Here is a 26,582-nt window from a genome sequence, read left to right as displayed (position 1 = left end):
AAGTTTATCACATGAGTTCTGGTCTACTTTTGTGGGTTGTCATTCCACCGATGGTTTAATTTTCAGAACCTTTGCTGTGTTATTTTGGTCTGCTTGGTTTAGATGATATGAGAGGGGCTTCCAGAGGTCCCTGTACCTGAGAGGGCTGACAGGTTTTTTTCAGTCTGACCCTACAGTGTCTCTTGGTGAGAGAATAGCATCTTGGGTCTATGGAGACAAATAGGCTTCATGGGCCAAGCGCTTGTTGTAGTGAAATACCTCTTACCGGTGTCACTCAGCAGTCTCAGTGTCTCTGGGCAGGAGAGAGGAGTTTCAGACCCATGGAGAAAGAGGTATCCCAGGCCAGGCTGCTTGTTGTCATGGGCATGGGCCCCCTTTTGCTGGTACAACCTGGTGACCCTGTGTTGTATCTCTTGGTAGAGGGAGAAGTCCCAGGCCTGGTCAGGAAGAAGAGCATTTACCCTGCCCATGTATGGCTAGCCATAACTGAATTCCCGACTGATCCCTTTGCCAATGGTGCTGGGCTTCCCTGTTGACACTGGATGGACTCCATGAAAAGAAGGAGCTTTCCTGAACCACCTTCTGTTGCTAGGTCACAGGTTGTAAAATGCTGGTCCTGATCACCTTCTTTTACTGGCTGGGGGAAACATAAGATACCCTGCCCCATGCTGCTTCTCTGGTCCTGATGCCAGAAACCAGTCTGCCTTCCTCTTAGCACCTTTCAGAGTCCTCTGCTGGTTGCCTCTCACATTATGTCTGGGATGTATAGTTGTACTTAGGGAAGAAGAACAAAGAAAAATGTTCAGGTCCAATATCTAATCTGGCCATCTTGTATAGATCAGAAGTCTCAGTGATCCTTTTTTAAAAAACACAAGTCCAATCACATCACATCTGTATTTAAAACTTTATAACATCTTTGAATTTCATGCAGAGAAAAGCCAAAGCCCTTACAATGGTTGTAAAAACCTAATATAATTCGCCCTTGTCTTCAGCAATCTCTCTGACCTCACCTCCTACTACTGATCCCAATCCCCATTTACTATGCTCCAGCCAATTGGCCTCTTGAACTGTTTGTCAAACTATCCCAGAAGTCACATACCTTCACATTTACCAATTCTTTTGCTTAGGACATTCTTCCTCCAGATAACCAACCACATGGCTTATCCCTCACGGCCTTTAAATCTCTGCTCAAAGATCAGCTTATCAGAGATTCCTTTCTTGAGTACCTATGTAAAACAGTTACCACTACTCCCTCCCTGAACTCTTCTCATCACTCTTACTACTCTCAATGGTACAATATCTTGCTTACTATGCATTTAGGTAGTTGTATATTATCTATAATATATCTGACACAGAGAGTGCCTAACACTTAGTAGATGCTCAATAAAATTGTGCTGAATAAGTGAATGAATTTCAGGGTGCACATTCCTATACATAGACCCCAACCATAGCTTACTGGGATTACAGTGGTTACACCAAACTGCTTTGTGGGAAAGGACATAACTGAAAAAAAATGCACTAGAACATATGATACGCAACAACAGACGGGACAGTTCCCAGAGAAGTGAACACTCAGAGGCAGTTTACTCCCACCAACCTATCCTCAGAAATTGTAAACTAATTAAGGAAGTGCTACCCTATAGGTTTATCTGGCTTGCATGGACTTTACAATGAGAAAGTAACCTGCTCTCAGATGAATTTCTGGTACAGTAGAAGTAGTACAGCTTCTCTCTTTAAAAGACAAAAAGTCATCCTCCAGACAGGCTATGCACACACGTTTCATAAAGGAGACTACAATGAGAAGTAATAATAATAAACACTTACCTAGTGCTTCCAACATAAGCACTGATCCAAACACATTATATTAATTCATGTAATCCCTAACACAACCTTAAGGGAGTACTAATATTATCCTTTTTTCATATATATTAAAACTGAGGTGCAGAAAGTTTAAGTCACTTACTCAAAATCACACAGCTCACAAGGGATAGAGCTGGGATTCAAACCCAGGCAGATGGGGTTCAGAGTATGTATTTTTAACTACCATCCTCTACTACAAAAGAAGTAACCTAAATCAGTACCTCTCCCATACAACAACAACAAAAAACATAACATATGAACAAATAAAATGATGAATATATGAGAAATGAATTTGAAGCTTATTTCCCTCAAATTCCAATTTGAAGCTTACCTCTTAGGCAACATTTATATTTGTACTTAGTTAAATGTATATAATGTATATGCATTTTAAGTATATATGTTACATATATTTTACATGCTTATATATTTTATGTATATTAAACATGATATTGTTGAAAGTAGCATACTCTTTCTTGTTATTTATAAAATGTTGCACCATATACTAAAATAACTTCACTTGATATTTACAGAGCATGTGTCATAAACTCTATCTAAAATCAGAGGTAAGAAGGGGGAAGCACTCGAAAATATAACTGGAGTAATCAGTTTCATTCAAAATGTAAGTGGGAGAATCAGAATAGAAAATAATGTGATTTGCAGATTTATTTTAAATCAGATCTAAATTAGAATAAAATCATATCCATTAACAATAGAGAAGTTAACTCATGTTTGCCACATCAATATGAGGTTCTAAACTGTCATAATCAGATGGTCAACTAAGCAAAAGTAATGCTGTTGCTCTCTCAGAACGACTGTATTGTTGGCCTATGAGAAACCGCCTGTGTTTGGCCATTTTTGGCCTACAATTATGGCTGTTTCATATGGCTCAGCCTCATAGATTCAGGGCTCCTTTTTTATTTCTTCCTAGGCTCAGTCTTTTCTATTCACGGTTTTTATGTTTATATAAAGTCAGAGATTAAAGGTCGCCTTCCTTCTATGTACCAAGTATATACCCTTTCAATATAATATGCTTCTTCTCGGTCAAAAAGCAGAAACCAAATAAGGTTCAGCACACAGCCTATTTCCTACAGATTTATTGATTTGTTTTCCTAAGAAGTTCTAAGCAATGACACTCTTTTTTTTCACTCAGACCTTGCAAATCTAAAAATTTAGATCTGATTTAAAATAAATCTGCAAATCATATTATTTTCTATTCTGATTCTCCCACTTACATTTTGAATGAAACTGATTACTCGAGTTATATTTTTCAGTGCTTCCCCCTTTTTACCTCTGTTTTTAAATAGAGTTTATGACATGTGCTCTGTAAATATCAAGTAAAACTACTTTAGGATTTGAAATAGTCTATTTAAAAAAAAAGAAAGAAAGAAATACCTGCTATTTTCTCCTAGAGTCAGTAAGATTTTCCTATTTGTCCTAACAATGGATAGAATAGTTTATTACTTTGGTAGGTTTCCCCAACTAGAGATCTCAGATACTACAACAAAGAGCACATCATGGGCACTCAAAAATATCTAAGATGGGTACACAGGGATGAAAGAGAACAGGAGCAGAATCTTGACACTGACCAGCAGGAGGAATATATCAGTGTACCCTTAACTGAATGCCTCAGGCCATCTTGACTGAGACCCTAATGCCATTCTTTTAATAGAAGATGCATTGCTGACACAAAAAGAAATCAAACATGGCACCTGTTTTCAAAGGGTCGAGAATTCAGTCTCATTCTCCAGGGCCAGCCCAGCAACTGAGCCCTCCAAATTTGTCCAGAACCTTAGTTTTGATGACAAACTATCTTCTCCCCTTCAGCCTTCCATTCCTAAGATTCAATAGGCCAGAAGCAATTGTAGACTAGGCCACATGCACCACGCACCCTGTCCTCTCTGAATTCAGGCATCGAAAACTGCACTCCAAGTTCCTGGGAGTCTGAGTGGATCTACTAACTCTTAGATAGTTGTCCAATCAGGGATTTATCTGCAACTTGGCAGTATTATCTGCAACCTGAGACACTGGCATTCCTTGGGGGCCCTGATGTTTCAACCAATTGGGTGCAAAAAGACTCAGAATATGAATCAGAAGTATCCGAATACCTGTCCTAGTTCAGATTCACACAATATATATTAAAATTTACTAAAATTTATCCTAAAAATCAGTAGCAGTTGTGAAGCACCTATCAGCATGTGTGTTGTGCCAAGTGTTTCAGATGTGTTATCTCATTTAATCCTCATGGGATTCCTATTTATTATTTCTAGTTTGTAGAAGAGAAAATGGAAGCTCAGAATGAGTTAAATGTCTTCCTCAGAGATACATAGTGTTCAAGGCAGGTTTTGAACCCTGGGAGTTGGATTTCAGAGTCTATAATCTGATACAGGGTATCCTACAAAAGAACAATTATGGAGGTCATGAACAACTTCCATACAGCCCAAAGTAAAGAGATGGCAGTAGGCTGAATTTTTTAACCTCAGTGGCTCCCCACCCAATATACATTCACTAGGTAATGGCCTTCCTTCCCCTTCACCGCATGCCCTGTTGACCCAGATATAAATACACTGATGCCTGCATCTTCCAAGAGCACACTCAGCTAAAAAAAAAAGATGAGCTCAGAGTAAAGACTGATCCCTTTTCATGCTTCATTGACAAAATCTACCAAACTTTTCCTTGGTCAAACTCATGTGTTTTCATCCCAGAAAAATGCATGTTGTGGGCCCCGGCTAGGAGAAGCGGTCTGAAATGATTTCTACCTCTCTACTGAAGAACATTTCCCATCATCATTTTTCTGCAGTAAAGAATCCCAAAGTTTAATTTCCATTTTCCCAGTGTTTTTACAGATTTTGAATTATTTCCATTTCCCAACACAGGATACAAAGAAAGGGAAAAAAAAAAAAGACTACATCAGGCACAGAAAAATCACTTCCAAATCATTTAGGAAGAAAAAAAATAGCACAACAAACTAGTATCCTCAAAGATGACTTAAGGTTTCCCTATCTTGTTGCAACTGCTCCCAACCCACCTCATTCCTCAATATGTCTGAAAACACCATCTGCTTTAAGAGATGTTGCTAGGAGGCTGCTGTCTGTGCACCATGTTGGGATGCGGCTTTACTTCCCTATAACCTTACAGGGATCTTCTTTCAGAACACCTATCAGGGACCTCCAAGTCTAGGGTATGGTGAGAGACACCCACCTCACTGCAGCGTAAGTGCTCTAATATTGGGCATATATAATTAACACAATTGTCCAGGTGGGGTACTTCATATTGCCTTAATATTTCAGAAGGATGAGGAAGCTATCAGTCAGTTCTATCCCATCAGAGAGACAATCTTCTACTAATTTGAAGAAGAAATTACTTTTTTGTATGTAATTCAAAAACAGTCACAAATTATTCTTCTCACTGTAACCATGCCTCTTTGCAGTGTGACTTTTCAGATCTTGTCATCAATAGGTGGCATCTATTTCCCCAACCTATGAATGATTTGCTTTGGCATAGAAAATGTGGCAGAAGTGCCAGTATGGCAATTCTGCTTCTAGGGCTTTGCAGCTTCCACCCTGTTTCAGAACTCTGCCAGTGAACTACCAGAGCAAGCTGGACTAGCCTGTTGGAAGATGAGAGACCACATGGGACAGATACAAGTCAGCCTAGCCATCCTAGCTGAAGCCTCAGACAGGAGAGGCCAGCCATATCAGCAGAGCCACACATCCAACCCATGAGTAGCTGCAGAAGCCAGAAGGAGCCCACCTGAGACCAGAAAAATGATCCCCCAGAGCCTGCACCAGATTGTTAACCCAAAGAAGGGTGACCTCAAAAAAATGGTTGTTGTTTTAAGGCATAAGTTTTGGGGTGGTTTGCTACACCACAAAAGCTGACTAATGTCTTTGTTCTATAAATAAGTACATCAGAATATTAAAGAAGAAAAAGATAAAAGAGAAATCCCTCTTAAGAGACAACTCATAATTTAAAAAGAAATGATAAAATACTGCTTTTTCTTTTGTAAAGCAGATTTAATTATACATTCAACTACGTCACTATCTAATAATGCAATCTGAACTAAATCACTAGTGGAAAGAAATTACTTTCCTTTTAGAAGTGATAATGCACTACAGTAGAAGGAGTGTTGGTCGGTAATTAAAAGATGTGCATTTTAACCTGGGCTCATTTACCAGGTAGCTATGTGATTGTGGCAGATCTCACTTCCTGACCCTCAATTCTAATGAAGAAAAACAAAGGGATGGCATATGATAAACTTTCAGGCTGGGTCCAATTCTAAAATTTAAAAAATTATTTCATTTTTCTCTGAAACATCAGCACTTTTTACTATATTTCCAATGGTAATAAAAACACTGCAGTCACTCCTCCAACTAATAGTCTTGGAGTTCCTACAATGTGCCAAGCACTGCCCTAACTCATGAAAATACAGCAGTCAATAAGACAGACAAGCATCTGCCCTGGGGGTGAGCTGGGGAAAGCTTGTAAGCTTATGAGAGCCAACTGTACCCTTCACTTTCCAAATCTGTGTTCAGTGATGAAGTATCCATATCTCGAAATCAGACACTACAGTATTTACACCATGGAAATTGGCGAATGCTACAAGTTACTTTCCCCATTAAGAGAGCCAGGTCTTAAACACGGACAAGGACACCTCTGGACTCTGCTCTCATTGAGTCAAAAACCTAATACGGGAGCTAGATATTACATAACTATGTAAAAAACATTTGATTACAACTGTGAGAAGTGTGGTGAAGCAGGGGAGGGGCTAATCCATGGGGAGAAAACATGTGTTCCAAGCAGAGGAAAAGTATTGTGAAAAATTTCAGCAGAAAGAAATATGCCGTGTCTAGGGAAACAGAAGGCGGCTATTGTGGACGGAGCACAAAAGGAAAGGGGCCAAGAACTTGGAGGGAAGGTGGAAAAGAAGGTGTTAAGGAAGACTTTCAGGGTTCAGGACTGTGCCACTCTGTGAAGGGTGGTACCTTTAATAAGGCACCAGGACCAGGTCAGGATTTAAGGGAGGAAGAACATGATACCAATCTTGGAAATGTTTGCTTTCCGGTATCTCAGGAACAGGGTATTGGAAGGTGATATGAAATTGGGAGCCAATGTATCCAGATGGTAAAATAAGTTTTAAGTGCAGGTGAGATTCCCTAACATGTGAGTAGAGAAGGACTGCAACTTACAGCCAGTAAAGTAGATTGCGAACATGTGGCTGGAGAGGTAGGAAGAGGTAGGAGAAAAAGAAAGTCAAGAAAAGAAAGTGTTTCGAGGAAAATGGGGTTATCAACAATGTAAAATTATATAAAAATAATCAAGCACCACAGAGCTCAAGATGGCCAGCATGTTTTAAAATGTGAAGGTCATTGATGGGTTAAGAAAGACTAATTTGGAGGAGTAGTGGGTACAGAATCCAGGTTGATATGTATTGAAAAGTTGGTGAAAGGTGAGAATAATGGGGAGAGCATAGGCAGGTCTTTGAAGAAGCTTGCTATGAGTGAAAGCGAGAAAGAAAGGAAGTAGCCAGTGAGGGTCAAGAGGGGATATAGGGTTTTCTTTTAAGATGGGTAAGCATGTCATGTTTAATATTGATGTACAGATCTGGTTACAGGGGAAATATTGACAACATAAGAAAGGGAAGGGATCAATTTTAGTATGAAATCATTGAGAAGCTAGGGTCCAGGGTCAAAGTGGAAAGGATGGGCTGGGAAAGGAAGAGGGAGACAGAGGAAAGCAGCTGTAAATGAAAGTGTGCTATTAGGTCTGGTGGCAGGGAATACTGTGTTTTCTCTCTTCTCCAGGAGGCAGAGGTCACATAAACTGCTAAGAGTAAGACAGCTGGAGATTTAAACAAGAAGGAGAGGGTTTTAATGAATGAACTACTGAAAGGTCATTGGCTTTGGACCTGACAGATCTGGCTTTCCACCATTTAGTAACCTGTAACCTTAGACAAGATGCACAGCCTTTGTAAGTCTCATTCATTTGACACACATCGATTGAGCAGTGACTGTATGTTAGCAGTGTATTCAAAATGCCAAACAAATGAGGTAAAGTCCCCGAATTCAAGGCCTTCATCATCCACTGGGAAAGGAAAAAGAGTCAGACAGAATCAACATAGCATTAATAGTGCTAAGGTAAAGGAAGGCACAAGGTATTCCAGAAGAACAGAAGAGAGGGTTTCATTCTAAATTGGCAGGGTTAGAGAGAGTCTTCCAGGGTAAAAATCACCCTCTCCATAGCCTCAGTTTCCTCAATGCAAAATGGAAAAAAATCAATCAATTCATGAATTCATGTGATAGTTTGTCCACATAAGGTACCTTGGCACAATGTCTGCAGCACAACAGTTTATTAATAAGTTCTACTTTCCTTACCCAGAAATTATCATGGTACCATTAAGGCTATTAGGTTAACATACAACATTGCCAAAAACTTATATTCTCTGTACAGTTTTCAATTTTCCCCATGTTTCTCAAGACATGTTCTTTCCTCATGATGGCTAGAAGCCACTAAAATTATCCTTGAAATGTTAAAGCCCAGATTAGAAAACTATACAAAACTAACAATAATGTCTTGTACAGGGAATGATAGCCACTGACAGAGTTAACACATTCTATTCCCGCTTTTATTTCTCTTTCAAGTTTATGGGCCAGATGTTAGCTGGATCCTTAACACCTGAGTCTCTGCCTTCCTTCAAATAAATGATTGTCCAATGTGTCAGTCAGTAATTCTAACTGCAAAGGGACAAACACTCTATCTTAAACTGGCATAGCCTATGAAGGGGATTGATTCATTCATGGAACTGAAATGGACTGATCTGGTATCTCAAATGACATCATTAAGGACTTGGTTCTTCACTGGCTTGTCTTCTGCAGGGCTAGCTTCCCCTTTGAGCTCCCAAAGTGGCATCTGAGCTACTCCAATATCTTCTTTCATGGGAACAAGATAACAAAAGTGAGTCCAGATATTACATCCTTGCAGCACATAATCCAGAAAAAGAAGGAAAGTTTCTTTCCCCACAAGTTCAAGGAAGCTTCTTATTGCAAGAAACTTTGCATTGGCTCTGAAGAGCCATTCCTGATCCAAGCTCTGTGCAGTGATGTCCAATAACATATTCTGCAATGATGGAAATGGCACCTGGACACAGGTGGCTAGTGAGCACCTGAAAGGTAGGTAGTGGGATTGAGAAACTGAATTTTTAATTTAATTTTAATTAATTAAAACTTAACTGTAAACAGTGACATGAGTCTAGAGGCTACTGTATGAGACAGCACAGCTCTACGGTGAGAAAAGGGTGGACTACATTGGTTGGCTAAACCAGTCAATGCTCACTGCCTTGATCTGGGGGTGAAGTTAATCCCATTCATTCAACCAAGGGAACCAAGGGAAGTCATTCTGCCTGGTGTCCTGGAGTCCACCATTCTTATTTTCCCTAGATTAATGGCCCAATTCGACACGAAAATCCTTTGCCAAGGACTCATATTTATAAATCTTACCTAGCAAAATGACACCTGAAAGTCACTTTGGAATAATAGCCTTTTAAGTCAGAGAGGGACCTCAGGGCTCCTACACTTTAGATCCATACATCACAGAGAAGAATTGGGATTGGAGCATAATTGCTTTGCTTATGGCCATTACGAGCAAGACCTGGATATGCTGATCTTCAGCCATTTTTCCACTGTAAAAATCTAGTCTTTATGCCACAGCACTCCAATAGGCCCACTGTGACAGAATTAACCTCATTCCATATGAAGCTTTGCAATCATTAGCTTATTGAAGCTTCCAGTATAGGATGTTACCATAGAGGCCCGATATTTATACTCAAACATCTAAATGAGCTTAAAAGTTCATGTAAATTAGGTAGGCTAGCCTGGTGGGAAATGTGGCAGATTGCATACCACACACCCTGTCTAAAGCAGGCAGCTGCTGCACTGCCCCAGCCAAATGTGGCCATGGGGGTATGTCGGCCGGCATTTCCATGCCTTCTGATTTTTTGAGAAATCCAGATCTGTATATGAACCTGCAGATTTTTAAATGCTGGCAACTCATGTTTATGTATTTAATTATTTGCACAGGCCAAGCAAGAACTGTTCGTGAATGGGTGCAGGCTCCAGTTTGCACACTGCGATATAGATTTTAAAAGTCTGACTTACCAGAAATTAAAGCCACCAGAGTGGTTGCTGCTGGTGGTGCCCATGTGTTTTCATGTATGCCAACGGACAGCTTCCAGCTGCATCTATGTCTGAGGGATTTCTCAAAGCCTAGGGCCCACTGGCCTGGAAGCCCCTCAGTCTCCAGGAGAGGCTGGCAGAAGAGCTGAGAAAATAACCCCTGAGAGAGCTGCCCCCAGTCACTGATTATTAGGAACTGGTGGGTATACCACTGCTCCCTCTCCTCTCTGCACTGTCTCCCAGGGCTCTCCAATGGGACGGAGCTTCACTTGTACACCATGGTAACTTATTTGATAGTGCACCCTTTAATGGCTGTCTTCCCTTGCCTATCTCACTTCCCCATGGCCCTGCCCACACTTTCTGGGGTCACCTCCCAAATAAACCACTTGAACTTGAATCCTTTCCTTGCAGTCAACTGTTGGAAAAACTCAACCTACAAACACCAGAAACCTGAAATTATTTTGAAATTCTGTTTTTGTTCTTTACTTTTTTCCTCTAGTTATGAACTATGTCAGGGTTAAAATATATGAAAAAGTCACTTTAGTATCTAAGAAGGCATATACTCTGATATGTTAATGTCTCAATATTCACAATATAACGCTGAAACTTCTGTCCTCTTGCATAATGAAGCCATGCTATAGGACCAAGTGTTCATCTAAAAATAGAATCCATTATGTATACCAGCACAGTCATTAGTTTCTTAGCATAGCAACTAGCTCTGTCCCATAAAACTTTTCACTTAAGCATTCATTTCACACAGGTGCATTGTTTGCCGTGATGCAATATAATTTTCAGACCACTGTTCCTAAGTGGAGTTTTGCACAATGCCAGGGAGAAATCTCATGAAAAATCATTACCACAATCCCCATTCCCTATAGAAGCAGAATAAAAAACCAAACATTCTAACAGGAGAAATGTGAATTTTACTATTCTGAAATGTATCATGTAGAGGTGATGAAAGGCAAACTTCCTATCACACCTGAAATTATCTAGCTCTCTCTGGTTTGCCCAGTTGAGTGTATGTCTCAGTTAAGGAAGGATTCCTACAAATTGATAAGAAATGACATAATGCTACAATTTAATAAGATAACATCTGCCTTTGTATCCCAGAAATGAAAAATTAGCTATAAAATAAAATAGTTATATAAGGTCATTCTTAAAACCACATTCACTCATTCAAGGGTGCAGCTAATTTAATTAAGTATGGAATTTACACAGTACTGTGATCTAAACAAGGGTCTCAAAAAACACAAATATAAGGTTAATAAACAGGACTTGAATTCTGAGGACATGTTTGGTAACGATAAAACAAACAGCTAATACCTGTAACATTCAGGGAATGGAAAGTTAAAAAAATTTTCATCGACAGAATATAATAAAAAAACTATTTTGATTCAACCTTAGATATTGAGACTAATTCTAAAAAAATCCTAGTAATTTATTGCCTTACTAAGCACAGTGTAAGGAATATTATCCAGTCATAGTCAAATAATTCAGAATCTGGTAGGGCCTGTAGTTGCTCATGTGGAGTGTTACTTCTGAGTAGAAAGTAGGCCACGTCACAGGCAGGAAAGGCAAAGTGAGCACATCCTTTCAGGAAGTTTACTGAATTAATTTGTAAGGTCAGCTTGCTTTCTATCTGTGTTCACCTTGGCTGTACATTAGAATCAAATGAGGAGCTTTCAAAAAAAAAAAAAAAGTCCAATGTTCTGACCACACCCCAGACCAATTAAGTCAGATTCTCTGGAGACAGGAAGCCCAGGCAGCAGCGTCCTTTGAGGCTCCCCCTGTGATTTCATTGTGCAGCCCAACTTGAGAATACCTTCTTCATACAGTTTGTCTGTTCCTAGCAAATGTACTAGGCCTACTGAGGTTTCTTTTTCAAACAAATCCAAGGAAAAAAATCCTGCAGGCAAACTTAACTTTACATATTAAACAGGTTCTTTAAACAGCAAAAAGTTAAGAGCCAGAACATAGAGCCAGACTGCACTGCCACTGTTGTTTCTATTCCTGACTCTGCCATTAACCAACTGTACAACCAGGGATCATGACATAACCTCTGTTCACACTTCAGTTTACTCACTTTTAAATGTAGATAATAGTAGCACTGTCATTCATAGGATTATGGAAATGACGAAATTGCATAGGTCTGTTAACACACACTATATATATGTGTAAGTATACACACACTATGTATGTATATATGTAGCACGGCATATAGACACACTATGTATGTATATATGTAGCATATATGCACTATATACATACTATTATAGACTATAAGTATACCTATGCTACATATACTATATAAATATATGTATAAAAATATGTATATGCTATAAATATACAGACTATATATTATTAGAATTGTGTCTGGCAAGGATAAAACAGCATATATGTGTTTGCTGTTGGTGATGCTAAGGATAACAAGGATAATGATAACAACGATAAAAAGGTATGTGCAAAGTAAATTAGTGAATATTACATACTTTGCTAGATTTGAGAAACTTATTTATAATAGGTACCAACGTCCTAATAAGTCAGTTGTTCAAAGTTTGCATTTTTGCCTTTTAAATTACTTAAAGTAAATTTAAAATATTTTAAAGTGGAAGAAAGTAATTATATTATTTATTTTAATATTTTGTGTGTGTGTGATAAATGTTTAAATAATCCAACTATCAATCTAAATTTATTTTCCCAAAAGACAAAAAGAGACTTGTCTTGCTGATTAAATATAGAAAGAGCTTGACAAGTGATAGGTTTGGCTGTGTCCCCACCCAAATCTCATCTTGAATTCCCCCGTGTTGTAGGAGGGACCTGGTGGGAGGTAATGGAATCATGGGGGCAGGTCTTTCCTCTGCTGTTCTCATGATAGTGAATAAGTCTCACAAGATCTAATGGTTTTAAAAATGGGAGTTTCCCGTAGAAGCCCTTTTCTCTTGGCTGACACCATGTGAGACGTGCCTCTCACCTTCCACTATGATTGTGAGGCCTCCCCAGCCACGTGGAACTGTAATCCTATTATACCTCTTTCTTTTATAAATTGTCCAGTCTTGGGTATGTCTTTATCAGTGGCATGAAAACGGCCTAATACAGTAAATTGTACCAGTAGTGTGGTGTTGCTGAAAAGATACCCAAAAATGGGGAAGCAACTTTGGAACTGGGTAAAAAGCAGAGGTTAGAACAGTTTGGAAGGCTCAGAAGGAGACAGGAAAATGTGGAAAAGTTTGGAACTTCCTAGAGACTTGTTGAATGGCTTTGACAAAAATGCTGATAATGATATGAACAATAAGGTCCAGGCTGAGGTGGTCTCAGATGGAGATGAGGAACTCATTGGGAACTGGAGCAAAGGACACTCTTGTTATGTTTTAGCAAAGAGACTGGCAGCATTTTTCCCCTGCCCTGGAGATTTAGAGAACTTTGAACTAGAGAGAGATGATTTAGGGTATCTGGTGGAAGAAATTTCTTTTTTTCTTTTTTTTTTTTTTTTTTTTGAGATGGAGTTTCACTCTTGTTGCCCAGGCTGGAGTACAATGGCACGATCTTGGCTCACTGCAACCTCCACTTCCCAGGTTCAAGTGATTCACCTGCCTCAGCCTTCCCAGGTAGCTGGGATTACAGGCATGTGCCACCCTGCCTGGCTAATTTTGTGTTTTTAGTAGAGATGGGGTTTCTCCATGTTGGTCAGGCTGGTTCCGAACTCCCAACCTCAGGTGATCCACCCAACTCAGCCTCCCAAAGTGCTGGGATTGCAGGCATGAGCCACCACGCCCGGCCTGGTGGAAGAAATTTCTAACCAGCAAAGCATTCAAGAGGTGGCTTGGGTACCGTTAAAGATATTCAGTTTTATAAGGGAAACAGGGCATAAAAGTTCAGAAAATTTGCAGCCTGACAATGCAATAGAAAAGGAAATCCCATTTTCTGAGGAGAAGTTCAAGCCGGCTGCAGAAATTTGCATAAGTAACAAGAAGCCAAATGTTAATCCTCAAGACAATGGGGAAAATGGCTCCAGGGCATGTCAGATGTCTTCATGGCAGCCCCTCCCATCATAGGCCCAGAGGCCTAGGAGGAAAAAATGGTTTTGTGGGTTGGAACAAGGGTCCCTGTGCTGTGTGTAGCCTAGGGACTTGGTGCCCTACATCCCTGCCACTCTAGCTGTGTCTGAAAGGGGCCAATATAGAACATGGGCCATGGCTTCAGAAAGTGCAAGCACCAAGCCTTGACAGCTTCCACATGGTGTTGAGTCTGTGGGTGCACAGAAGTCAAGAATTGAGGTTTGGGAACCTCTGCCTAGATTTCAGAGGATGTATGGAAACACCTGGATGTCCAGGCAGAAGCTTGCTGCTGGGGTGGTGCTCTCATGGAGAGTCTCGGCTAGGGCAGTGCAGAAGGGAAATGTGGGGTTGGAGCCCCCAGTCCCAACTGGGGCACTGCCTAGTGGAGCTGTGAGAAGAAGGCCACCATCCTCCAGACTCTAGAATGGTAGATCCACCTACAACTTGCACCATGCCCCTGGAAAAGCCACAGACACTCAATGCCAGCCCATGAAAGCAGCCAGGAAGGGGGCTGTACCCTGCAAAGCCACAGGGGCGGAGTTGCCCAAGGCCATGGGAGCCCATCTCTTGCATCAGTGTGACCTGGATGTGAGACACGGAGTCAAAGGAGATCATTTTGGAGCTTTAAGATTTGACTACCCTGCTAGATTTTGGACTTGCATGAGGCCTGTAGCCCCTTTGTTTTGGCCAATTTCTCCCATTTGGAATGGCTCTATTTACCCAATGCCTATACCTCCATTGTATCTAGAAAGTAACTAGCTTTCGATTTTACAGGCTCATAGGCAGAAGGGAATTGCTTTATCTCGGATTAGACTTGGGACTGTGGACTTTTGAGTTAATGCTGAAATGAGTTAAGACTTTGGGGGACTGTTGGAAAGGCATGATTTGTTTTGAAATATTAGGACATGAGATTTGGGAAGCTCCAGGGGCAGAATGATATGGTTTGGCTGTGTCCCTACCCAAATCTCAGCTTGATTTCCCGTATGTTGTGGGTGAGACCTCTTTCTTTTGTAAACTGCCCAGTCTCAGGTATGTCTTATCAGCAGCATGAAAATGGACTAATACAATAATGTCTCCATCAGTACCATCAACAATCTTGAGTTGGCAAGAAAATGAACTACAGAACAACCAAAAATGCCTACTCTACCTACAACATTTGTAATTCAAACAAAAGAGCATGGCATTATATCAATACCAAGTACCCGGGGATTCTATTTGTAACAAAGTCAAAGGAATTTTCTCCGTAACAGGAAGTAAAATTATGAACAATATGCAGAATGCATTTCCTTCACATATTCTGCCAATCCAATGGCTCGAACCATTTTTTGGCATCAAAAAGTACAAATATTCCATTATAATAGCTTCATAGCATGGAAAGTATCCAATTTAATTTCTCCTAAAGTAGTGGGAAGAGCTAAATATATGCAACTTATGAAACCAAGGAACAATTTTGTAATTAAATTATATTAGGAGTAATGAATTTTCGTGGTATTACATGTTTCTAAACTCTGGTTACAATATATTAAAACAAGCATTGCTGTTGTTATGCCCATAATGAAGTGTGGTGATTGTGACATAAAAATTATACTAATGCATTTCTACTCTAAAAATGATTCCAAAGAAGCTGCAATGAAACCATCTCAAAATGACTAGCCTAATTTTAAAATATACTTTAAAAGGCTACACTTCAATTAGAAATTCTACCAAAAAAATCATACATCACATCCTCTAAGAAGAACTTGTAAATGATTCCATTCTAATAACATTTATTTGTATGTTGTGTCTACATAAGCTAAGGCATCATGACATGTCTATTCTATGCTAGCCAGAGTTCACTGGTGCAAAATCTCTGAGGAGTCACAGAAGTGAAAAGAAGGTAATGTTAATAAAAATGGAAAAACTTAACCTGGAAGTTGATATGGTGAGGATAGATTTGTTCCTCAGCAATCTGAACCTTGGCTTAGTGGCTAAACTATCCTCAAAAACACTAAAAGTTTAATCTCTAAGGTCTTGGTCAGTAGGGAGGAAGAGGAGTGGCCTGATGCCCATGTAGTTGTCACAATCCTAAAGTGACTATCTTAGGAAAAAGGCATAGGCAACCATGATTGTGTCCAATTTTTCTTGTGAATAATACAATTTTCTCCTATCAAAGTCCTCTAAATCATCTTAAAAGTTGTTCCATACGATGCTTCAAATTTCCAAGGGTCCAAGAAACTTTCACCTATGATGGACTATTTATTAGCAAATTATCCCCAGAGGGAAAGTCTTTTAAACAATAAATCCTTCTTTTGCCTTCCATGGCTCTGTTCCCACAACATTATGAAATACATAAATAAACATCTTATTTGCCCAAACAGACCTAAGCTTCAATGTTTCAGATCAAAAGACCACAGCAGAGTCTAAATAGAAAACAAGTCAGTGTTGCCTTGAAGAAGAAAAAAGGAATAAAAAGATATACATAAATAAATGGTCACTTGGTTTTCAAAACAGCACATTTTTGTGGTCTCTAATACTTATGGACAATTGTTTGGTCAGAGAGTCATTGTTTATTATGTAGCAATAATAAAAGCCACCACAAAGGATGGAGAGTTTACAAAGTAGCAGGTGTTATGCTAAGTCATTCATTTTACACATTGAATGTTCACAACAACACTAAGAGAGTAATACCCACCTTATAGATAATGAAACCAAGGCTTTGATTTTTAAAGAGATTCACTGAGGGTGACTCATTAAATACACAGCAGAGCCAGACTGTGACAAACCACATCTGTCACAGCTTCAAAGCTGGTTTCCTCAACCAGCTTTGGGCTTCCCAAATTAGGACTGTTTTAGGAAAATCAGACTTGGCTTCAAATAAAAGTGTTCACTTAATATGTTCCAATCTCTCTTAACCAAGGAATCATTTTAAAACCCTTCATTTGGGGGCATCTATATTAAGTTGTTAAGCACTATGCATCTGCATTAAGCAGTTCCTAGATAAGGATTCTAGTAAAAGTAGTTTATTTTAGAGGTGGTTTTAGAACACAATCAGGAGTGGAGAAGTGAGACAGGAAGGGAAGGAAGCCCATAAGGGGAACATTTTCAAGCCAGTTGCCACTGTGGGTAACTGGGCTTAATCCCACTAGAGAGTTCTGGGATATAATATAAAGAATGCACCTTTAAGTTATCCCACCCAAGAGGTGAGGGAGCTGTGGTATTTATCCACTGAATCCCATTGGTGAGGGTGAGTGTGAATTGCCAGGAACTTCTGGGCAGCTGCATGGGTAGCAACATGAGTTCTAGTAGCCAGACAAAGCAAAAGAATGCAGGCACTGGCCAGCCACTGGAGCCCGGCTTATGTTCTCAGGAGTGGTGAGGAAGAGGGTGTGGGTATGGCACTGTGTCTGTTTTAGCTATTAATATCATCAATACTGGTGAAGGAAATTCAAGGAAGGTGAAGGAAAGGACTTAGTCCCCAGATGCTGCTGCTTAGTCAACAATGACTGACACACTGCTCCAGGCCAAGGAACAATCCCAGCCCTCACAAAGCAATCCTCACGTGAATTTTGCTGGTTTTTTTCCCAGATAATGTAAGTTATTGTTTCAACTTTTAGAGAAAGCTACCAAATAAAATAAATAGCACTTATCTTCTAAATTTATAACTACATCATTGCATTTAATCACTCAGTGGACTCTTGAATGACCTATCCCATTTACTATACACAAGAAGGGTCAAAGTTGACAATTTTGGGATACCCTAGAGAAGCATATCCCAAAGAGAAAGCCCCACTGCTAAAAATCATTAATGAAATGTGTGGTACCCAGTAGTTCTTTATGGAAGCCAGACTATTTTTAATAGGAAATCACTAGATTTTCTTGTTGACATTTATGATGCATCATTCAAAATATTTTTGAACTCTGGACTCATGCTGAAAAATGTTACTGTGACTTATGTAAATATTTAACTTTTAAACTTTGCTTTTGAACTCTGTAGAAATTTAAGGTTATCATAAGAGAAGACTATCTATGGTTGCCATTAATGGAAACTGAATCATCACTCTGTACAAACATCCAGAATGGTGTCTCATGCAAATTCACAGGGCAGAACAAGATGGCAGATGGCATGAATGGTAGAACCAATCTTTCTTGCCCTAAGTCTCCAGAAATGACTAAATATGCAGGTATAAATTTAAATCTCTAATATAGGATCACGGGTAAACAAAAAGAATTACAATTTTGAACCACAAAGTAAGAAAGGCAGAAAATAAATGAGATAAGAATGAAGTAGGAAATCAGAACCCAGCAGTCCACAGGCATTAAAACATAACAGATCTTTGGGCCATCCAAACCAGGTAGTGAAATGTCAGCTCTACGAGTGATATGAAGAAATTGAAGTTAGAGCTCCACCTTACACCAGTCCTCATAATACATTACATATGGATTAAAAACCTAGATTAATAACGGTGATGAGAAGGAATCAGAAATATCTTAAAGGAAGCAAAAAGTGGGGAGGTAGTTGGAATGTAACTACATGAAAACTTAAAGCTTCAAGTCATCTTTTGTTACCCATAAATTAGATGTTAAGAAAGTCAAAGACAAACCACAGACAGGAAGAGTGTAATTGCAACATTTATAACAGCTAAAGGAGTACATCTAGAATACACAGAGAACTGTCCACACAAGGGCAAGAGATATAAATAGGCAATCCATGTAAGGAAAAACTGAAATGATCAATAAATGTATGATAATATACACAGTTTACTAGCAAATCAGGCAACGACAGATTAAAACAAGGTGATATAACAGTTGCATCAGTTAGGCAAAAATTAAAATATTTCCTATTACTGTTGGTTGGGCTTAAGAAAACAGTTCCACTCATATAAGACAGGTAGGGTTATAAAATGGTACAGCCATTCATTATAATTTAGGATAGGTATAGCCTTAAATCAGCAATCGCACTTCTGAGCATTTACCTTAGGGAATCCCTGACCCATATTCCCAGAGAGGGCTACACACAGCTGACTATTACTCCATATTATAGGATTCTTTGTAACCCCAAATTAGAGACAAACACCAAGAATCCACCAGTGAGAACTTCTGTATTCTTAAATAAAATGTGGTAATCAATTGTTTAACATACGATAGAGCAATATGAAAGAATGTGATACATACACATGTACTAACATGAAAAATTCCCTAAGATAGGCCAATTTAACGGAATGATATAGACACACATGTACTAACTTGAAAAGTTCTCTGAGACACACTATATGGTAAAAAGGAAATTGTAGAATGGTTAATATGATGTGACTTAGTATAAAAATGGACATAAGCAAAACAAAATGAAATATTTCCATAGTTACACATGCACAAATTTATTTAAAAGAGACCTAGGAAGAAACCATGAAGCTATTACTATTAGTTGACTCTGAATAGAGAACTAGGATTGGAGTCAATGGGAGAGTGCAGTTTAAAGATAGTTACATTGCTTTACTATTTTACAGATAAAAAGATATTTGTATATTATCCACAATATTAAAAACAAATAAAATTTGTAACAAAAAAGAAAGTAATGGGAGTTCTTCATGCAAACCGTGTGTTCTTCCTCCCATTCCTTTTCAAATTTAATGATGTGTTCCTTTTCCCTTCCCCCAAGCTCCAGTTTTATGAAGACAAGGAAGGGTTTACTGAACTATATTGAACTTCTTGGATCTGAACTAGTGGTGACTAGTTTTATTTTTACACCAACCTTGGCACAGAAGCAGGGCATCAGGTTGCAAGGCAAAGGTCTAATTTTTTTCATATTCTAGCAGGATAGGTTTTGGTTAGCTCTTTAACATTGACACTTTTTTCTTCTTTAGCCTTTCTTTCAAAACCGGTGGAGCAGATTCTTATAGTTCACATGGTTTTCACAGCTAACACTTCCTGTGTTGGTTTCTAGTGTTCACATGGCACGGATCCAAAGAAAAGTTATAGCCTAATGTAGGCCACCTCTCAAGTACTCAGGCTGTGCAGGACTCCCTTCTCACCCATGACTTACAGATAAATTCATCCTCTTCACATCACCTACACTTACACAAGAAAAACCACTCTGCTTAAAATAGTCATATTCAGAAACTCATTTTTGCTCATTTTATTCAATAAGATTTACAGAGCCAACAATACAGTGAAAAGAATTATTAAAATAAGTCCAGAGCTGGTACAAAGCATGAACATTTATCCCTAAAAATGATATTCATATTTATCTGCTTCCACCAACTCCAAACATCCTGTCAGTGTTTCACTAAAGCACATTTCTGCTACCTAAAAATGACTCGCTAGCTTTAGTTTTTAATTCCTAAATTCATCATCTGTGCTGTCTTCTTTGTCACCTATCATTTCTGTGGTGACAAATCAAAGGAGGGGTTTTGGAAGGTAGCATGTCATTGTCTACAGAGGGGAAAGCCAGTGGCTTGAAATAAGTGGCTCTGATACAAGATCTGATGTAGCCATGACAAGAGACGGACATGCATAGAACATCATAAAATGTGGCCATTTACCTCCAATGCTATAAAAAAGAAAAATAAAAAACACTTGTAAAATCCCCTCTGCTAGGGATTTCTGCTCACCTCTGAGCAGACTAGGCCTCAGATGATTGCTAATCCAAGTGCTTTGGTATAAGCTTCGTGGACCAAAGAGGGAATATATTGGAAGAAGCCCAAAGGAAGAAGAGAGGCATATTACAATAAATACCAATGCAAGCTTCCCAACCAATGGAAAACACAGTGTATAAAATCAAGGGATAAACTTAAAGGTATCACATTTTTTTTTTGTTTTCTGAGAGATTATCTCTATGGTACATGTGGCAGATTCCTAAAACTAATTGCCAGATAAAAAATATTTTTTAAAAAGTGGCCCTCTAAGTAGCATCATGAATGTACCATTCATTCATGTACCTTCAAATGATCTTATGCAAAAAAATCCCCACTAAAAGCTTGGCATGCCATCTTTTATTTGCATGCACCATTTCTTCTAGCACACATTTACTCTAATTCATCACTTGGAGTCGTCCATCTCCTAAAAGTGGATGAATCACTCTTACTGGTTCCAGGGCTGGGCTTCAAGCCAGAAAGAAAATGACAAACTTGAAAGCATGGTAAGTTTAATTTTTTTTTCTTAAATCCTCTCATCTTTTGGATTCTAAGATATATGATCACTAAGAAATGAGCCTCCAAATTCTGATAAATGACTGAGAGATGACTTTGGCATTTAGAAAGTGAAAAGTAAAATTTACTATTTCTATCTCTTGGCTAGAACTGTAAGAGTAATATCCATGAAAAGAAAAGCAATAACATGATAAAAGGAATTGCTACCACATTATCTGTTTCGCTTGGTCATAAACAGCATTGCAACCAAGATTTAAAAGTTTGTGTAAAAAATGAAAACAAATTTTCCTACCTTTGAAAATAAGCATGGGTCAAAATACTGGGTTCACAACAGAAATGCAACAAAGAGCCTTTGGTCCTAAACCCTTTTTCTTTATTAAGGAAATAAATATTGATGATTGGTCTAGAGGGGAGCTTAACTGAGTTGCCATGAATTATTTAAAAATCCCAGAATATCTTCTGTTGCTTTTATAGAAGCTTGATCTACAAGTTGAAAAATCAAACTGACAGTTTGGTCTCTCGTACAAATACCCAACGTTTAGAAATGCTCTAGGCATTATAAGTACATCGTTCATGAATATAGTTTCAACAGTTCTAAAAATATCCTTTAGGAGAAGAAAAAAACACCCAAAAAACAAAACCTCTTGCAAGCCATTGTTTTACACATAACAGCAGGAAACCAAACAGAATGTCTAAGCCAAAGCGATTAACACACCCAATAATAAATGTGAGCGTTAAGTAGGAAATCTTACTCATACAATTTTTGACATTAGCGTAGGGTCTGTGGTTTACCTCCACTTCTACAGCCACACATGGTTCCAGGGCACACTGATTTAGAGTCTAATTCCAGGACAACAAGACTGAAATTCACCTTTTGAATGATGTGTAAACAGGCTCATTCAGGAGTGGCCCTGGGACCAGACACAGGTATAATTGAGCTTGCCTCAGAGACAGAAGGCAAAGCTGACAGGCAACTCCAGGAACTTTGGATATAAGAAACTAATGTAGAGTTTTGAAAGAGCTAACAATTTGTTCCTCCTTCATCCGTAACTGTGGAGGTTCCAGCTGTTTTAATGGTATACTATTACTATTCTATTGTTTTCAGTATGTATTTAGCATTCTCAGTAAACCCTATCCCATTTCTCCATATATCAAAACTTAGAGAACAAAAACATTCTATATTCTGTGGCCTCTGAGGTTCAAGTGTAGGACTGTGGCAACGATGCTTGAAATAATAACCACTTTCCATGAGTGTTCTCATCTAACTGCCCATTAAACTCCAAATAAATCTTATGATCAGCAGATATTCTACTTTTTAATAATTCAGTACAGAATCATCAATTGGCTTCATAACAAATGAGATAATAAATTCATGCTATTGTGGGCAGAAAGCTAATTTAGTAAGAAATTCCTGACAACTGAAGGAATAGGCTAAAGGAATTTTATTCTTGGTTTTCTGACATCAACAAATTATCAGGGCCAAATTCCTGCTGATTCTGAGAGAGTCCTTAATGAACAGCACAGGGGAAAAGAGAGAGAAAGAAAAGCCAAGGGGTAAGGCTATTGGGTCAAAAGTTATTTTCTCATCATTTTTCTTCATCCTTTATGGGTGGGGACTTAAATCAGTAACGCTGACTAATTATGTGCTACACCAAATGTAATTCAAATTTCCCTGTTCTTATCCTAACACATAATATAAACAGAACCAAAAATACCAATTGCTCTAGAATTTAGCAAATCTAATATTTCAAACTAGTGACTTTGAAACGTCCTAAGTCCTAAGAATACCTTAGATATTCTTTAAAAGTAGAACCTTTAAATAAACTGCAAAAGATCTGTGAAATGGATGTTCTTCTATAGATAAGATACATAAATACTTTTCAAAGTAGTAAACGACTGAAAAATGTAAGAAAGGCATACCTCATTTCTTACCTTGTTTTGATCTGTCCAGTAAAAGAAAAATCCCTGAGGGTCAGTCCTCAAAATAATTGGAGTAACAATAGTTGAGTCCTAGAAATGTAAGAAGAAACATGAATATCAACATATATCACTGTAGAAAAATCTATCCAGGAGTTATTTAAGAAGTAATAATTGTACAGATTCTCCAAAGTAGTCAATTATTAAGAAAAATTTCAAAAGAAATTAGACATGGCATTTTTAACTTCATGGAATTATCCATTATGTAACTGAGGTTCTTTCCTAATAATCAGAAGACTTATACATAACTTGTAAAGGAAAAAGCATTATGATTTATTGATTAAGGTATGTTTTCTATTAAAAATCTATATTTAGCTTTTCAAATAATTTTAACACTAAACATCATTACTTATTTTTATGATTAATATTAACTAAAATCCATGCTTAAGAATAGTATTTTAAATTACATTTGTTCCATAAAATGATTTTTAATTGTAATAGAGTAAAACATAGTATTTGAGCATCACTGTTTCCAAGGTAACAGTAAATAAGGCCATCTTCTACATATTCAGAAAGATATATACAAACTTGTTGCAAATTTCAATTTTACATGCTAAAATAAAACATCATAGGTAAATAGTCTTCTGAGTTTAAAGCATGCATAGTATAAAGCAAAACTTGGATACATTGTAATTATAATATTAAACATTTCTAAAATATGTGTTCTTTTCTCTTAGCAATTTTCAGAAAGACATACCATCTGCACAAGAAAATACATGCCACTGGATATGGATTTTTATACTGAAACACTCAGGCCTTTGCAGGAATTGCATTTTTTAGAGAGACATAAATTGCCAGTTTTTTCAATTTTTTCATACACATAACCATAGTGTGTCATATCATCTAGCTTATTAAAAGAACTTGTAATGAAAATTAGAACTTGCAGAGATAATTTTGGCATTTGGGACTTTTTTCTTCCTAATGGGCAGAGCAGTATGAATGATTTTAATCTACATATTAAGTTTTATTGTAAGAGCCTGGTTCTGGAAAATGTTCTCTGGGTTCAAATTCCTGCCTGTCCCATCTCAGTGCATAGCTTTACACAACTGAAAAAAGAAGGGAATAATCATAATACCTAACTCAGAAGGTTGCTGTGAGAAATAGCTAGGATAATTTGGGGTAAAGCATCTGGGCATGTTTGCCACATAAAAATGTTCATTATTATTATAGTGGATTATAATTAAAAACAGATGTATCAAAATACTAAATGTAAGTTTATCAGGATATTCTGTGTTACTGCAGTAAAATATACAGAACATAACATTTACTCTTTTCTAATATGCCTTTCAGTGGTATTACATGCATTCACCTTGCTGTGCTGCCATCAGCACCATCCATCTTTAGAACTTTAAATCTTCCCAAATTGAAATGCCACATGCATTAAACACTAACTCCTCATTCCCTCTTGCCCCTATAACCTGGCAACCACCAGTCTTACTCTCTGTATCCATGAATTTGACTACTCCAGGTAATTAAATAATTGGAGTATTCTAAGTAGTTATATAAGTAAAATTGTATAATATTTGTCCTTTTGTGTTTGGCTTATTTTATTTGGCATAAAGTCCTAAAACTTCATTCATGGAGCATGTGTCATATCTCCTTCCTGTTTAAAGCTGAATAATGTTCCATTTATGTATATGCCATGTCTTGTTTATCCATTCATCCACTGATGAATATCTAGGTTGTTTCCACCTTTTGGCTATTGTGAATAATGCTGTTATGAACATAGGGGCACAAATATCTATCTGAGTCCTTGGTTTCAGTATATACCCAGAAGTGGAATTACTGGATCATATGATAGTACTATGTTTCATTTTTTGAGGAACTGCCATTCTGTTTTATGCTGATATTCCATATATACATCCTTAACATGCAGTTTGAAAAATATCTTTTACAAGGACCGTGCTGTTGCAAGGAACTTCAGCTAGAATTTTAAAATTTCCCAATTACTTCTAAATGTCAAAAAAAGACATTTGGAAATAAACGATATTATAATGAAAGACTAATTTTTAAAATAGTTTAGGCTTCTTTCATGAGATTGCATGCATAACAGCTCACACCAATGTTTCCAATAAATCATAGCAATATTTTCAGTCCTGTTTTGTTACTTCTAGAAGTTGCCAAAATAAAAGTTTTGACAGGCTGCACACAGCACACATTCCCACTTCTAGAGGACTTTAGAATAAACTGTAGGTGTAACTTATCTTTTTCAGGTCAGTTTCTTTTCTTATCAGAGCATCTGACAAAATTCTAATCAAAATCTTGGTGGCGATTCCCTGCAAGGATCCCATACAATCAAATATTTAAGTGAGCAGAATAAAACTTCTAAAGGAGGCTGAGGCAGGAGAATGGCATGAACCCGGGAGGCAGAGCTTGCAGTGAGCTGAGATCGCACCACTGCACTCCAGCCTGGGTGACAGAGCGAGACGCCGTCTCAAAAAAAAAAAAAAAAAACTTTTCAAAATTTATATTTAGGAACACTGTTCTATGCTGCCTAGTTTGTTTCAGATACTTCCATTTCTAGCTTATTCCTTCCCCTCCTTCAAAATTAACCCTTCTTTGTTCAATGTTTTCTTGACCCCACTCTTCCGGCCACAGTTCCTCTGTTAAGTGATCATTTATCTCGGCTCCCTGCCCGCTTCCTTCATAATCACCTCTAACATTCCAAGATCAGCTGGAACTTGGCATTCTTGCCATGCAAAGTAGGATCTGACCCAGAAATATATGAATGTCTATTTTCAATTCCACCTGCTTGTTTTCCCACCTCCCACATAGCTGCTAGTATCTATATTCTCCCCATACCAAAGTAGCCACTCAACCCAGATCCCAAATATTCTTAATTGTCAGAACATATACCCAGGTTTGAAACTTGAAATATATGACCATCCTTCATTGACAAAGGAGCTGCAGATGGGTTGCGACTCTTGGGACCTTTGACTGTAGAATGATGAAGACAGCTCTCAGATGGTCTATATTTTAATCCTTTACCTCTCCATCAACATCTATAACATGTGTGTATTTCATAAGATTGTGGTTTTTAAACTTGCCTATGCATCAAGTTCACTGAGAGATCTTGTAAAAACACAGATTGCTGGGCTCTTTCTCCAGAGTCCCTCATTTAGTAGCTCTGGGACGGAGTCTGAAAATCTGGACTTCTAAGAAGCTCATGGTGATGCTGATGCTGTTGGTCCAGGGGCCACACTTACAAAACCACGGATGTAGGCCTACAATAGGTGAGGCTTTGGGTCAGGAATAGGATGATGTTTACCTCCAAGAACACCTGTGACCTTAGAATGCAGGCAAACCATATCTTGTGAGTATATTGCTTCTAAGAATTCAACTCTAATTTACTTAAAGTTGTATTTTTTCTGATAAATGTTTGTCTGTAAAAAAGAAAA

General features: G+C 38.1%; 1 protein-coding gene across 2 annotated transcripts in view, besides 7 other annotated features; it reads right to left on the bottom strand.

Moving 5' to 3' along the window:
* Window positions 1–26,582, bottom strand: part of PLCB1 (phospholipase C beta 1) — a 752,635-nt gene that overhangs the window by 711,390 nt on the left and 14,663 nt on the right. For both annotated transcript variants that reach the window (NM_182734.3, NM_015192.4), the window contains exon 2: window positions 23,140–23,217. In NM_182734.3, the coding sequence (NP_877398.1) occupies window positions 23,140–23,217 (78 nt within the window). The remainder of the gene's footprint in view (window positions 1–23,139; window positions 23,218–26,582) is intronic.
* Window positions 17,910–18,054: an enhancer, noted in NCBI's record as "145 bp enhancer 51 fragment used in the MPRA reporter construct; PK_construct_1697". NCBI's record gives its function as "activates an SV40 promoter by MPRA in HepG2 cells {active_cell/tissue: HepG2}" and the evidence as "EXISTENCE:reporter gene assay evidence [ECO:0000049][PMID:23512712]".
* Window positions 17,910–18,094: a biological region, named in NCBI's record as "HNF1, HNF4 and FOXA motif-containing MPRA enhancers 45, 51 and 106/107".
* Window positions 17,945–18,089: an enhancer, noted in NCBI's record as "145 bp enhancer 106/107 fragment used in the MPRA reporter construct; PK_construct_1017". NCBI's record gives its function as "activates an SV40 promoter by MPRA in HepG2 cells {active_cell/tissue: HepG2}" and the evidence as "EXISTENCE:reporter gene assay evidence [ECO:0000049][PMID:23512712]".
* Window positions 17,950–18,094: an enhancer, noted in NCBI's record as "145 bp enhancer 45 fragment used in the MPRA reporter construct; PK_construct_620". NCBI's record gives its function as "activates an SV40 promoter by MPRA in HepG2 cells {active_cell/tissue: HepG2}" and the evidence as "EXISTENCE:reporter gene assay evidence [ECO:0000049][PMID:23512712]".
* Window positions 17,975–17,988: a transcriptional cis regulatory region, noted in NCBI's record as "HNF4 motif; MPRA enhancer 51 activity is reduced when this motif is scrambled". NCBI's record gives its function as "necessary for full MPRA enhancer 51 activity {active_cell/tissue: HepG2}" and the evidence as "EXISTENCE:site-directed mutagenesis evidence [ECO:0005528][PMID:23512712]".
* Window positions 18,011–18,022: a transcriptional cis regulatory region, noted in NCBI's record as "FOXA motif; MPRA enhancer 106/107 activity is reduced when this motif is scrambled". NCBI's record gives its function as "necessary for full MPRA enhancer 106/107 activity {active_cell/tissue: HepG2}" and the evidence as "EXISTENCE:site-directed mutagenesis evidence [ECO:0005528][PMID:23512712]".
* Window positions 18,015–18,028: a transcriptional cis regulatory region, noted in NCBI's record as "HNF1 motif; MPRA enhancer 45 activity is reduced when this motif is scrambled". NCBI's record gives its function as "necessary for full MPRA enhancer 45 activity {active_cell/tissue: HepG2}" and the evidence as "EXISTENCE:site-directed mutagenesis evidence [ECO:0005528][PMID:23512712]".

This window comes from Homo sapiens, chromosome 20 (genome assembly GCF_000001405.40).
Source record: "Homo sapiens chromosome 20, GRCh38.p14 Primary Assembly".
Classification (NCBI taxonomy): domain Eukaryota; kingdom Metazoa; phylum Chordata; class Mammalia; order Primates; family Hominidae; genus Homo; species Homo sapiens.
Note: the sequence above shows the minus strand (reverse complement) of the source record. Positions and strands in the feature narration are given on the sequence as shown.